The sequence below is a fragment of the Homo sapiens genome, chromosome 2 (genome assembly GCF_000001405.40).
Source record: "Homo sapiens chromosome 2, GRCh38.p14 Primary Assembly".
Classification (NCBI taxonomy): Eukaryota; Metazoa; Chordata; class Mammalia; order Primates; family Hominidae; genus Homo; species Homo sapiens.
In genome coordinates, this window is record NC_000002.12 from 208,384,047 (window position 1) to 208,400,099 (window position 16,053).

At 40.6% G+C, this 16,053-nt stretch overlaps 1 protein-coding gene across 8 annotated transcripts in view; it reads left to right on the top strand.

Moving 5' to 3' along the window:
• PTH2R (parathyroid hormone 2 receptor) overlaps window positions 1-16,053 on the top strand; it is a 134,815-nt gene that overhangs the window by 24,355 nt on the left and 94,407 nt on the right. The window lies entirely within an intron of this gene.

Sequence of the window (16,053 nt, forward strand, 5' to 3'; positions counted from 1 at the left end):
TTTAACTTGGAAGAGAAGATGTCCATGTGAAAAACTGCTAAATACTGAAACAAGAGAGCATGTGACTAAGCAATACCATGTGTGGCACAGAAAACAAGTGCAATAGCAGTTTAGCAAAGTGAGTTCAGTGTAGGCTGAACTGGTTAGAGCAGGTTTCCGGGTGAAGGTGAGGATTGGTGAGGGTTTGGATTGGTAGAAAGAGACGGGGAGGACATCTCACATCAAGAAGTTATGCCAGTGGATTTCAGGAGAATTGAGTGTTTGTGTCTGAAAAGCCTGTAAGAATAGGGCATGACAGTGTGGAGAAATGCATGAAAGTATGAAGGATCGTGATATCCAGTTTGAGGAGTGCTAACTAGAGGCTCTGAAGATTTGAGAAGAAACATAATGAAAGGTGTTCTCAGCCTGATCTTGGTATGCAGGACTGGTAAACCCCAAACACCTTACCATTCTATTACCTCTCCCTCAAGGAATGGGTCCCTTGATAAGAATTTAGTGTAAAAAAGATTGTCAATTCAGTGCTGCTGCTGAGTGCTAGTTTCTTTAAACACACACAGTTTTCTTTTGAGAATTTTTTTTCTATTAGATAGACGAACTGTTATTTAAATGAAAAAGGCACATAGTCCCATAAAACAATTACACATTCGGGTGATAACTTCAAAAGGAGAAATTAAAATGTTCTTATGTTTTGAGCAAGCATTTCCACTTCCAGACTTTGCTGCATAAACATCTGTGGTCATCTAGGGAATGCCTGACCTGGTTCAGAGGTGTCAGAGCAATGTAAAGTCACGGAAGTGCTGCAGTTCTATTCTGGGCTCTCATCTTTTTGCAGCGGTCCATTCTCTAATTTTCAACCACATATTACCAGACAATCTCTTAAGTCATACACAACAAACTGATTCTGTTTCAATGCTTAGAATTAGAATAAAAAAGCCTAAGCAAAAATAGCACAAACATTTGAAAAACACTCCTTTTTTCTACCACTCCCTTCTTAGAACAGAAATAAAAGCCCTGTACTTTAAGAAAATGGATGGAAGAATTTTCTTTGTACTTCTTATTCTCCAAGTTACATTTACTACCTGATAGTGTTAATACCTTTTTGTAGTACCTTTCTTTAAAATATACAGGGAAATGATCTGTTCCAAGAAACTGTGTTTTTAAATTTAATTATAGTGTGCTATGATGATTTAAAAAATGGCCTTTTGAGTAAAGGACACGAACAAGTTATTTAAAAAGTGAGCAGTAAGTGTGGTCAGTAAACACATCAAAAAGTTCCCTTCACTAATATTCAAAGAAATGCAAATTAGAATAATAATACCCTTGTTGCTTGTCAAATTAATACTTTAACAATTATTATGTAAATTTTATGGATAGGATTGCAAATCAACACACCTTTCCTGGCCACTGGTGTACATAATAGAAATTCTAAAAATGTTCTTAGGCTTGACCAAGCATTTCCACTTCTAGACTTTGCTGCACAAAGATCTGTGGTCATCTAGGAGAAGGCTTGACCTGGTTCAGAGGTATCAGAGCAATGCAAAGTCATGAAAATGCTGCAATTCTATCCTGGACTGTCATCTTTTTTGTAGTGGTCCATTCTCTAATTTTTCAATGACGTAGTACCAGACAGTCTCTTAAGTCAAATGTATTTGTAGGGCTCTGGATTTGAAATTCAATCTGGCTTTCAGCCTTGATGTGGCCACTCCCAACTTGTAAAGGACCTGTGAAGACTTAGACACAGAATAAAACACAGAAGATAAGAAAACCAACTTTGAAAGAAAATTTATTGTCAAAATTGTACTGGGTCAATTGAGCAAAAACTTCAAAGAGCGTTTTCATATTAACCAAAGCATCCCTCCTCAATTGAAACATATAAAGATATTGTTCACCCCTATCCTGACTCAGAGATCCACAAATCTGGGCATTCATCATCACCATATTCTGCTGGCAATAGTTTTAAGCAGCTAAATTACTGTTCTCTACTCTTGAGTTTCCTCCATCTCTTCAGATACAGAAAGTTCTAGAATATATTCAAATAATCAAATCTTTAATTCATTCCATATATCTGGCTCAAGACAGTGTCCCAATAACCTTATTCTAGAGAAAGTCAGATTTAGACTTGTGCTCATCATCATACTCATGTTCTTGACATCATTTTAAGCTCTGAGGAGACATCTCACATAACTCTCATTGATACGTGTATACATCTGTCACTCTGTGTTTGTGCTGTGATGGATGGACTTGGATGTAGATATGCATAGATGATGAAGCAGATAGCTATATATATGGTATTGATGTAGATTCAGTACAGCTGTATAATTGCATCTGTGTTTCACATATCTTGTGTACTGTATCTTGACTGTATCTGTGTCAATACCTAATTGAGTTATAAGGCATAAATATGTGGAGCTCTTAGCACAATACCTGGCACACTGCAATCAGTCGATGTATGTGTTTGTGTGTGTGCGTGTGTGTGTGTGTGATACAGACAGAACCTGCTAATATGCATAATAGTCAGGTTGGGTTGTTATAACAAAATACTATAGACTGTGTGGCTTAAACGGCAGACATTTGTTTCTCACAGTTCTGGAGTCTGGGAAATCCAAGGTCAAGATTAGTTTCTGGTGAGAGCAGTCTTCCTCTTTTGCAGCTCCCCATGGTTTGCAAATCACAGATTTCTCGCTGTATTCTCACATAGTGTAGGAGGAACAGAGGGAGGGAAGGGAGGAAGTGCCTAAGGACACTAATCCCATGATGAGAGTTCTATCCACCATGACCTAATTACCTCCTAATGCCACCATCTCCAAATACTATCACACTGGGAATTAGGTCTTTAACATGTGAATCATTTGGGGTGGAGAAGACAAACATTCAGCTCATAACAGGTAAGGTAGAAAATCTCAAGAATTTATATTTTGTATATGAAAGATCATTAATGAGCAGAATTTTAAGTTTAATGCCAATTTTAATCTATTTTTATCTTTTCTACGATTCTTTTTTACTTTTTAATTTTTAAACTTTCATATACAAAGGGATAATATTTGGCTAAATGTTCTCTTCTTTTTGAGCTCTGGATCATTGTTACGATCACCCCATAATTGTATGTGTGCAGAGATAGTGCTTTATACATTTTTAAAACAATTTTATATACAGTATTAAATTTTATTTTTCAATAAACAATCCATGAGATAGAAAGAACATATATTTTGTTTTACAGATAAGCTCCAGGGAGAGTCTAGGGTACCTTAGATTGTATGGGTAAAACATGGTTTATTTAAATCATAAATAAACAGTCTTATTTCCCTAAATGCACATACAGGCATCCACATCAAATGAAATCACATCACATGAATTGAACAGGCAGTTACTGACTTAGAACTTTGCACTCACAAAAGACACACTCTCCTAAATGTCTCCATCATACTATACTTTTTGTCCCCAAATGCCTAATCACTGAAGCTTCAGACTTTGTTGCTTTGATTCCCTTAGGAAAAATTCCTGGTGTTTCAGAAAAAAAGAGCCATTTAACTACATTAGAAGTTAACCCTCCTTTAAAAATGTGACTCTGTTTTTTCCAATTAGATGATCATTTTCCATTATGAAAATAATTGAGGCAAAATAACATTCAGGTGATTTTGCTTCTCTATTATACCATCATACTAGTATAGCTAGAGGATGTCACAATGTTGTAATCTTTAGGTGATTATTCTTTGAAGTGCAGAGACCTGTATGTCTCACTCACTGATCACATCATTACAACAACCCCTTTTTATACAAAGATCAGGAAACGGATGCTCTCATGTTAAATATCTTATTCCAGGATCACAGATGATGCTGCCAGTGGCAGAACCTAGATTTGGGTGCAGGGCCCCCTCTCAGTGCTAGTCTGTAAACATTGGACCATTCTTCCTTGAGGAGGTAGGCTAAACAGTTGTGGATGGAATAATAAATTAACTAGCATGGCTTAAAACTTCACACTTCAGCCGGGCGCGGTGGCTCACACCTGTAATCCCAGCACTTTGGGAGGCCGAGGTGGGCGGATCACGAGGTCAGGAGATCAAGACCATTCTGGCTAACATGGTGAAACCCCCCCCCCCGTCTCTACTAAAAATACAAAAAATTAGCCGGGCGTGGTGGCGGTCACCTGTAGCCCCCAGCTACTCGGGAGGCTGAGGCAGGAGAATGGAATGAATCCGGGAGGTGGAGCTTGCAGTGAGTTGAGATCGCGCCACTGCACTCCAGCCTGGGTGACAGAGCGAGACTCCTTCTCAAAAACAAAAACAAACAAAAAAAAACTTCACGCTTCAATGGCATCGATCCCAACACCAACAAAGCTATAATTACACAGATACTTCCAAAAAGGTCTAACCTTCGGTGACGTTCCACACTATCCTTCAACACTACAATGACATCTTTTTCTTCTGTCATGTTCATACCTGTGTCCCATTCCATCATACCTGTGTGAGAATAACCTATTAGGTAATATTTATCTCCCTATCCTTATACTCTGTGTTGGTAAAGAGATATTGTAACCCCTGAAGCCTTCTATCTTTGCATAAAATATGTCTTTATGAGTTGTGTGGTTTGAAACACAGTGTAATAGTGATTACTCTAGAATAGACATGTTGAGATAAGAATCACTGTAAGGTTGAGTGGAACTGGGGAAATAAATACAACTTTAGAAAGAAAACTGTCAAAGACTATGGCCAAACTACTAGGATATGAGACATGCAAATTCACTGCCCATATCCTTGAACTTCTGCTTCTCCTGATGTTTGATTATAATTCTATCCCTAGGAAGTTTAAAGGCTATTTTTAGCTAGCGCTTACAGCAGGGGAGAGAATACTAATCCAGGGTCTGGCACTCAGTAAGCACTTATGGATGTAAGCAGCAAATATCCTGTAGCAGGACTCATCGAAGCATAGCACATACGTAGAAAACAATGTAACCTTAGCATCAGCATCAGTGCCCCTTCTTATTATCAAGAGATTCTAATTAGAAATAAGAGGGTGTTCATATTGTGAAGATGTTTTCATTATATCTGAATTTAAGCATCAGAGAGTATTACACAGTCAAGCTACAGGAAAAAACTAAGTTTCTAACAACATATTTTCCATTACTCTGAACATTAGGAATATGCCATATTTTACAGAATGATGATACATTAAAAGGAAATGCATACACACACACACACACACACACACACACACACACACACACAATCTATTGAGGAAAACTTTCCAGATTGTCTATACTCCTTGGTGCAGCTCTATGGCTTTATATATCATTTCATTAAAATTTTTCCTTCTTATTAGTCTTAGCTCGTCACAATTGTTATGCTTAATTAACTCGATCAATTGTGGATTACTGCCAGTTATATTTGCAGACACCATAGCAGCTTATTAACTCATAAACACCAAAAGATAACAGAAGCACTGGAGGACAAATCATTAAATGAATCTTTTAATTTCTAGCCTATAAATGGAAGTTAGCGCACGTTAGTTTGCCAGTTGTTTTCAATGGGTAGACACTGGAATAGTACCTTCCCTATGTCTAGGCTATGTATGACCCATGAGGGGAAGTAATGAATCATGATCAAGCTGATACTTTCATTACCTTTAACATAGTGTGCCAAACATTGATGTTTTATCACACATTTGTGATGTTTTCTCACAAATGTTTAATTTTTATCACAAATTAATGAGCAAAAACTAAAGATCTTTGAAGATAGATTTCTTTTCCGCTTTTTCTTTTTTTGCGGGGGTGGGGGGGTTGTTTGTTTTCTAAACTACTGTTTTACTACAACCTAGACAAACATCTGGCACATAGTAGGTGTTTAATGGATGTTTGTTGGAAAGTAAGCTGCTACTATTAGCAAACGTTATAGAAGGGTCTCGAGTTCCATGAGGGAGCATGTTTGGAGAGGCCCATGTGTGATTTTTTACATTATAGTCAAGATGGTTATTTAGAGCATGCCACTCCCATTGGGACTTCCAACCAGGAGAGGCGATTCTGAAAGCCCCCCACTAGAGCTTCTGATCCTTTTAGATGACCCTTGTTGCACCCTTCTCCTCAAATTTTTGAACTGTCAGCAATTACAAGTGTGATGTTACAATATCTGAGATCTCCCAAGTGTGGTCCTTTCCCGCTACTTTTAAAGCAGAGGGAGACATTTGCTATTACTTGGTCAATTTTTCCCAGCCTGAGGGTGTGAAGCTTATGTTTGGAGAGAGTGTTCTTTGCCACTGGGGGTGGAATGTTCTCCTGAGAGGAGTTAGTCACCCAGTTGAAAGTGCTCCCATACCATGTCCCATTTATGCCTGATATGTCTTGAAAGGTTAAAGGTAAAGCCAATAAAGGGAACCCCAAGACGATGAGTTCCGGGTCACTGTAAGATTCCTCAGTGTCGTTGAATTGAGTGAACTACTTAGGACAGACCCAACAATTAGTCTTGTACAAATGGGCCATGGTGGATATTGTAGGAGCTAAAGGGTGTGATGTATTACTAAGTCCGATAAAAAGTCCTAATAGACTTAGTGATAGTAAAACACTCATGTTTATTTTCTGTTAGTAACCATTATTCCTGCTATCAGGATAATAATTAAGCAAAATGCTACAGTAATTGAGATTCTCTGTCTGATTTTCCACCCTGAGGGTGCTACAGTATATAGTTCTATTGCAAATAGTAGAGTGAGTATAACAATTTCTGCAAGGGTGGCATAGTAAATAATTTCCATCAAAAAGAAGTTTTAATATTTGGCTCAAAGGGAGAGGTAGAAATGACAAAAAGTATTTGATGAGGTAGGGGTGAGACTGAGTACGATGAGTAGTTCTTACTCAGTTACTTATCTTTTGTGATTTTCAGCTTAAGATCTATTTTTTCACAGATATTCAGGTCATTCCTTTGGGCTTTGGTCCCTTAGCTCTCCAAGGCTTTGACTCGAGTGTGATGTATCCAGAATTTGATTCCTATGACTTTTATTCCTGAGGGAGTTGAAAGAAGAACGGTGTAAGGCCCTTCCCAGCTTGGGCTTAGGGAGGGAGGCAGGGAAAGCAGAGCCTTCACCTGTACCAAATCTCCTGGGTTAAATAGAGTGGTCCAATTTCCTGGGGTTGGGCTTTCATGAATTGTGCTAATTGGAAGTGAGCCAGAGAAGTTACATGCTTAACTAGCTTAGACGTTTCTCGATTTAATAGAAAATCATTGGTAAGGAAAGGCCATCCATACAGCATCTTAAAAGGGCTAAGACCTAATTTTGAAGGTGTATTTTTTATTTCTAGTAAGGCCATAGGAAGAAAAGTGACCCAAGGAAGGTGAGTTTCTTGGGATAATTTTCTGAGGTGTCTCTTGATAGATAACCCACTGGCTGTTGAGCTGGTCCTTGGGCCTGTGTTAAAACTTCCAGGGCCATCCCCTTTCTTTCTGATACATACAGATTGAAGGACTCCCCTACAGGAAGGCTGAGAGCTGCTGCTTTGAGCAAAGCTTGCTTTAGCTTGTCAAAGGCCTTTTGAACTTCAGGTTTCCAGGTTAAAAGATGAGTTTTAGCTCCCTGAGTTTTTTTATGACGTTATGTAATGGATGGGCTATTTCACCATATCCAGGTATCCACAGTTTACAAAATCCTGTAATGCCCCCAAATACTCTTAGTTGCTTGAGAGTTTTGGGGAGGGAGAAGGTGGAGATAGGCTTAATCCGCTCTTTCCCTAATGCTCTGGTCCCCTCAGACAACACTAAGCCTAGGTACTTCACTAAGGTTCTGCAGAGCTGGGCCTTGGGTTTTGAAACCTTATATCCTCTGCTAGATAAGAAGTTGAGAAGAGCTTCAGTACCTTCCTGAGAAGCTTCCTCAGTTGGGGCACAGAGCAGTATATAATCCACATACTGCAAGACCCTAACTTGAGTATGAGAGAACTCAGAGAGGTCTGGTGACAGTGCCTGTCCAAACAGACGAAGACTATCTCAAAATCCCTAAGGGAAAACCATCCATGTTAACTGGGTGGTCTGGCCGGAGGGATCTTCAAATGCAAACAGGTATTGAGAGTCGGGATGTAACAGTATGCAGAAAAAGACATCTTTCAAATCTAGGACTGCAAACCATTTAGTTCCCTCAGGTATTTGAGTTAACAGGATATAGGGATTAGGGACCACTGGATGGATTGGAACTACAGCTTTATTAATGAGGTGAAGGTCCTGAACTATTCTTCATTCCCCATTGGGTTTCTGCACTCCTAATATTGGGGTGTTGCAGGGGCTATTACAGGGTTTGAGGAGGCCTCTAATCTTTAGGTTATTAATAATGGCTTCTAGCCCTTTCCTAGCCTCTGGCCTTAAGGGATACTCTCTCTGGTTAGGAAAAGAAGTGGGATCCTTAAGATAGATTTGGATGGGCCTAGCAGTTATAGCTCAACCTATTCTTCCTTGAGTTGCTCACACTTCTGGATTAATGTTAACTTCCATCAGGGGGAGACAAAGAGTTTGTCCTGGGGCTATAAGGATACTGGCTCCCATGCGAGCTAGAATATCTCTACCTAATAAAGGAGTGGGACTTTTAGGCCTGATTAGAAAGGCATATGTAAATAGTAAGCCCCCAACCTGCAGCTACGGGTTAAAGGTAAATATCAGGTTAGAGTTTTTCCTGAGACGCCTCTTACAGTCATACTAAAGGAAGAGGGAAGGCCTGGATTACAGAGGAGAAGAGAGACTGGCTCCAGTACCCAGAAGATCTACCTTCCTTCCTTCAATTTTCAGAATCACCCGGGGCTCTTGTGCTGTAATGGCAGACTGAGCCGCTGGAATGGGGGTTTGAGCCCCGGGACCTGTCAATCCTGCTGGACCATCTCTGAGACTGGTTCTGAACCCAGTGACCTCTGCCTCCAGGGAAAGACCTGTCTTCAGCAGTTTCCACCACAGGCTGGACAGGGTCAAGGAAGGTTCGTATTGCTGTCTGGGCATTCCTTCTTAAAATGCCCTGGCTGGCCACATTGATAACACCTAGTGGATGCACCTTGGGGATTCTGGACTTTACAAGCTTGCAACGCTGCTACTAGAGCCTCTGTTCTCTTGTATTTCCTCTCCTTTTCTCAGGCCTCCTCCTGATCCCTATTGTAAAAGACTAAAGTGGCTATTCTCAGGAGGTTTTCTAGGGTGCTCTCTGGTCCTACAACTTGCTTCTGTAGCTTCCTTCTAATGTGGGGAGATGCCTGTGTGATAAACTTGTCCTTCAGGATGAGCTGTCCCTCAACTGAATCAGGGGATAAAGAGGTGTGTTTTATTAGTGCCTTTTTCAGCCTTTCCATAAAGGCTGTGGAATTCTCATCTCATCTTTGGTCTAGCATGGACAGTTTAGAGTAATTGAAAGGGTTGGCCCTGGTCTTCCATAGGCCTTCTATATTAGAAAAAGGGCTTCCTTTTCCATTCATCTCCTGAGTTATTGGGATTCCAATCAGGGTTGTCTACTGGAACTGCTTCCCTTCCTAGTGGAATGGAGTTTCCACCTCTTCCTCACCTTCCCTCTCTCCTCTTTTTCTCCTGGGTCTGCTATAGGAGACATGTTGCTCATCTCCGTATTTTTCTGCTGCCTGCAGAACTGTCTGCTTTTCAGCTGCAGTGAGGGTCTGACTTAGCAGCAACATAACATCCCTCCGTGTGAGATCAAACACCTGAGTTAAATTTTGGAAAATTTCTATATACCTACAGGGGTCATCAGAAAATTGGCCTAAGTCTCCCTTTATTTGCTTAAGATCCTGTAATGAGAAGGGAACTTGAACCCTTATGGCACCACTCCCATCAGGCATTTCCTGCAGAGGTAAGAGTGAAGGGGGGAGAGTAGGATATACTGGAGCTGGTAGAGCTGGAGGAGTGGATGGTATGATTGGAAGGGGACTGGAAGGGTTGGGACATTCAATAGCTGTCTCGGATTACTCCTCTGGAACCTGCTTTAGCTCTGGGGAACTATTCCCTGTGGGCTTGCCTGTTGTGGCTGCTAAAAGAACTGGGTTGATTGTACAGAACTTGTAAAGGTCTGAGTTGTCTTGAGGGGCAAAGAAAGCCTGTACATAGGCAGCCTCAGTCCATTTGCCCTTCTGTTTGCAGAAAAGTTTTAACTTTTGGATAATACTAAAATCAAGGCTCCCCACTAGCAGGCCAGGTTTGCCTGTCCCGAAGATAGTAAGAAGGGCATGCCCTTGTGCAATAGAATATGAAGTGCTTTTTCTTCAAAGTCTCAGGGCCGAAGGAGTCCCAGTGCTTTAAAATATACCCCAGGGGGGTGCATGTTGAAGACAATCTGTTACTCATCTAGAAAGAGAAGTGAGAATAAAAGTGTTCTTTTAGTCTGCTTCCTTTCAGTATGTGATCCAGGATAGAGAAGAAAACAGTAGGGGGTGTCCCCCCCACCAATTATTTTCTCTCCCTGGTTCCTGGATCCTGGCACCCATTTGAATGGGACACCCATGACTGCAGGCATGACCCTCTAAGCCATGGCACCAGAGAAACTAGACTTTTGGCCCTAGTCACGCTTCCCTAAGCAGCCTTAGTCCTCTGCCTTTTATTTCCTTTTGACCTCCTAGACTTGTGTGACCTGTGTGCCTCCCTAAAAAAATGGATCTCAAGAAAAACTACGTAATTGAGCAAGGCCCCTTTAAGGGAGGGGGCGTGCTAGATTGAACTCTATATCCTGTTATTATGGCCCATGCTAAAGCATTTACCCTTAGAAAAATGGTTCCCGTTAACTTCTGGACTTAAAATTATTAATTTTATTTAAGGAATTAAATTATTTAAGTAATTAAAATTAATACTATTATTAAGTACTTATTAAGTACTGTCTTAATCAGAGACAGAATAGGTGGCTTAAAGGAACGCAGGAACTGAATGGCCATTTTGCTGCTGATGGGACAATAACGAGACTAAAATCTGGCTGCGGAAGACATCTTACTCCTAACTGCTAAAGGCAGAACTTCCCTGTTCCCAGAAGAGGCCTAGAGTCTGATTTCTTTTCTTTTTTATTTTTTTTTTTGAGATGGAGTCTTGCTCTGTTGCCCAGGCTGGAGTGCAGTGGCGCGATCTCAGCTCACTGCAAGCTCCACCTCCCAGGTTCAAGCCATTCTCCTGCCTCAGCCTCCGCAGTAGCTGGGACTACATGCGCCCGCCACCATGCCTGGCTAATTTTTTGTATTTTTAGTAGAGACGGGGTTTCACCATGTTAACCAGGATGGTCTCGATCTCCTGACCTCATGATCCACCCGCCTCAGCCTCCCAAAGTGCTGGATTACAGGCATGAACCACCACGCCCGGCCGAGTCTGATTTCTAATGGTGCAAAAGGAAGCTGCGGTATTGCTGTGAAAAAAAAATGTGCCTCATGTAGAGGATGTCTATTTCCACTAGGTGGTGGTGTTGGCTTAGAAATATTGTGTGCTCACCAGCGGTGTGGTAGCAAGAAACCTCACCACAGAGGAAAGGGAAGAACTCTGTTCCTAGAAGATTGCAACGACATTTTCCTGATCTTGCCTAACAGGATTACTTTTCTAGGCTCTACAAATCCCTGCACATTTCACACAGAGAAAGAGTATGAGACCGAGGATAGAAAAGGAAGGAGAGTTTTGCAACAGGATAGCTGAGGATTCTCTGCCAACACCCAGAATGGACTGTCGGAGGCTGGGTCCCTCATGAAAATGGCCATACTGCCCAAGGTAATTTATAGATTCAATGCCATCCCCATCAAGCTACCAATGACTTTCTTCACAGAACTGGAAAAAACTACTTTAAAGTTCATATGGAACCAAAAAAGAGCCCATATAGGCAAGACAATCCTAAGCAAAAAGAACAACGCTGGAGGCATCATGCTACCTGACTTCAAACTATACTACAAGGCTACTGTAACCAAAACAGCATGGTACTGGTACCAAAACAGAGATATAGACCAGTGGAACAGAACAGAGGCCTCAGAAATAACACCACACATCTACAACCATCTGATCTTTGACAAACCTGACAAAAACAAGAAATAGGGAAAGGATTCCCTGTTTAATAAATGGTGCTGGGAAAACTGGCTGGCCATAAGTAGAAAGCTGAAACTGGATCCCTTCCTTACACCTTATATAAAAATTAATTCAAGATGGATTGAAGACTTAAATGTTAGACCTAAAACCATAAAAACCCTAGAAGAAAACCTAGGCAATACCATTCAGGACATAGGCACAGGCAAGGACTTCATGACTAAAACACCAAAAGTAATGGCAACAAAAGCCAAAATTGACAAATGGGATCTAATTAAACTAAAGAGCTTCTGCACAGTAAAAGAAACTACCATCAGAGTGAACAGGCAACCTACAGAATGGGAGAAAATTTTTGCAATCTGCCCATCTGACAAAGGGCTAATATCCAGAATCTACAAAGAACTTAAACAAATTTACAAGAAAAAAACAACCCCATCAAAAAGTGGGAAGTATATGAACAGACACTTCTCAAAATAAGACATTTATGCACCCAACAGACACATGAAAAAATGCTCATCATCACTGGCCATCAGAGAAATGCAAATCAAAACCACAATGAGATACCATCTCATGCCAGTTAGAATGGCGATCATTAAAAAGTCAGGAAACAACAGATGCTGGAGAGGATGTGGAGAAATAGGAACGCTTTTACGCTGTTGGTGGGAGTGTAAATGAGTTCAACCATTGTGGAAGACAGTGCGGTGATTCCTCAGGGATCTAGAACTAGAAATACCATTTGACCCAGCGATCCCATTACAGGGTATATACCCAAAGGATTATAAATCATGCTACTATAATGACACATGCATATGTATGTTTATTGCGGCACTATTCACAACAGCAAAGACTCGGAACCAACCCAAATGTCCATCAATGATAGACTGGATTAAGAAAATGTGGCACATATATACCATGGAATACTATGCAGCCATAAAAAAGGATGAGTTTATGTCCTTTGCCGGGACATGGATGAAGCTGGAAACCATCATTCTCAGCAGACTGACCCAAGGACAGAAAACCAAACCTGCATGTTCTCACTCATAGGTGGGAATTGAACAATGAGAACACTTGGACACAGGGAAGGGAATATCACATGCTGGCGCCTGTTGTGGGGTGGGAGGCTGGGGGAGGGATAGCATTAGGAGAAATACCTAATGTAAATCATGAGTTGATGGGTGCAGCAAACCAACATGGCACATGTATAAATATGTAACAAACCTGCATGTTGTGCACATGTACCCTAGAATTTAAAGTATAATTAAAAAAAAAAAGAGGCCAAGAGCACCTTGGAATGACAGAACAGATTTTAAGCTTACTCCCATACTTACCACTCTGATGAATGCTGTACCTTGGATTCCTGGCCAATGCACCAAAATCATATGGCTTTGATGACTGGAGGAACACCAGGGTCCTTGGTCTTGCACCGGTTTGAATAAAACGACACAGACACATGTGGAGTGGCTTTAGGGAGTGGAGAATTGTAATAGGCAAGAAAGAAGGAAGAGGCTCCCTCTGTACAGAGATAGAGGTGGGGGGGCTCTAAGCTGAAAGAGGGAACCCTGAGTGCGGTGAAAAACAGCCATTTATATGAGGAGGCTGGAGGAGGCGGTGTCTTACTGGCATAGTGCCCAGAGGATTGGTTTGACCAGGTATGTCATTCAAGTAGCCGGTGAAAAAACTGGCCCTCCCACCCTAGCCTTTTAATATGCAAATGAAGGGCACCATGATGTTCTACACATGTGGGGATATGTGGGGTGGCCATGTTGCCAGGCACATGTGGGCACAAGAAGATGGCAGGAATCGCCATGTTTGGTGGACCTAGTTTCTAATGGCCTGCATTTGCATATCAAAGCTTGCCTGCCAGGGTTTTTCTGCTAGGCAAGAAACATTTCTGGAGCTGATTTAAAAGAAAAATAAACTTCCCAAGGACCCCTTTTCTTCTTTATCTGCCTAAAATAATTTTTTAATAACTCCTGTAACAATGATTACTAGAAAGCAATTTATTCATGAAACTTAAAACTAAAATCAAATAATTGAAAATTAATTCATTGGGTCTTTGATATTAATATTCTTTAAGCCACAGAAGTCATAGAAAAGACTGAATTTGTCACCCTAGGCATTTCATTAAAAAAAGTTAGTTTCTTTTGTCTCAGAATGAAGTAGTCTTAAGTTCCAGAGCAGATATATCCTCATTATAATTAGTGAAATGGTGGTTTACTTAATTTTTAACATATAAATAGAGTCACATTTATCACTCCTTGGCATTTTCTTTAAGGATCTGATGCCAGAATGGCCGTGGAAGTCAAACATGTCTCATGCAAGAAATGGAATAAAAAGTTTCTATGAGTTTATGGTAATGGTTGGTTGGAAGTGTTACTTTTTGTAGCAGCTACTGTCAATGTTCCAATCATTTCTGATGATCTTGGTGATTTGGTGGATAATTAGACATGTGTCCTCAGACCAAGAAACTGCAAAGGCATAGAAGAAAGACAATCACGCTCTTGTGTTCAAAATGAAAAGCTTCTTTAGGGGCATTGTATTCTACTTAGATAATCATTTTAGAGCTTTATATGAGGTGTCTGGATGTGGTTTGGGGAATGTAATTAGATCAATTCCCTTAAAACTGTTTAAAGTGATTTCTCTCTTTCCATAAGTTATTGTATTACTAATTAATTTATTTACTATCTCGATTTTGTGCTGTTTGAATCTTAAGGCAGAAAAGAGTTGTCTGTATCTCTTGTGATAACACATATACTGGAATTATAAAATTAGACTCTCTTGAATTCTAGCTCTTAACCAGTCCCAAACTTGACTCAGAATTCAAAGGACCAGGCAAACACCAGGCACAAATAAAACAGTCTTTTCTTGGAGAAGTCTGAGACCATTTGGCACAGATTTCCAAAATAACCCTATTCTCATGCAGTAGGATAAGTTTTAGATTTAATAGACAAGCTTCTTTATAAGCAATATGTGCAGAGACATCGTTCAAACAAAGGGAATAATTCCAGTTATGCAATGTCTCTTCTTCATACCTTATTGTTTACATAATCATCTCTTAGTTTCCCCTATCACCCAGAAACCTGTGAATTCTAAGTTTATTTATACACACAATCAAGATGTGTGCTCCTAAAAACATTTTATACTCTCCATTATCTTTCCATTCCTAGTAAATACTTAGTGAGTTTACTGGAAAATTTGGTTATTCACATGTGTTCAGGGAAGGGTTAACTCAGTAGGTCTGGGTTGCTCAAACCCTGCACATTCCCAAGAAAGGCCAGTCCTCAGGACTGGCCCTTGGCTGGTTTCTGGGAGATGAGCTCTAAGTCCTCGGCATAATCTGCTGGATAAGAGTGGTTTGTATATCTGCAGCCTTGGGCTATGCTGTACCAGTTTGACCAGGTAGTTTATGCTAACAATGTCATCTGTGAATGCCTATTTTTGCTTGTGGCAGGGTTATGGTGGGGCTGGGTTCCAAGTAGGTGATTAAAAACCCTAGACACCAGGACTCAGATAAGCTTCCCTAGTTGGCAACACTTTGCACAAGGTGTCATACATCATTGCTGGGAGAATTAAGTGCATCTGTGTGACTCCACTGGGAGAAGACCCCTGGAAGCTTGTTCCTGGTTCTGCCTGAACATCATCTTATGTGACTTTTCCCTATGTTGAATTTAATCTGTATCCTTTCACTCTGAGGAATCATAACCATGAGACAACATCTTCTGAGTCCTATGAGTCCTTCTAGCAAATCATTAAGCATGATGGTGGTGGTTTTGAGGACTCCCAACATAGCATGTTTACCAAGAGATTTATTTGAGGTTTTTCTTTCCTTTCTGATAGAGAAAAGTTCATACCTGCTGTTCACCTTTTCCTTCCCAGCATGTAGTGTGGAGCTATGAACCTCTATGCTGATGTCCTTTCAGCCCTTTTTACTGATACTCACCCTGTCTCTGGGGCCTTACCCCTTCATTAATAACCCTATGGAAAGTAAAACTGTATTTCAATAGGTCTCCAGTTATAGCACCTGGAAAATTAAACTCTTCTTAAAACCCAAGTT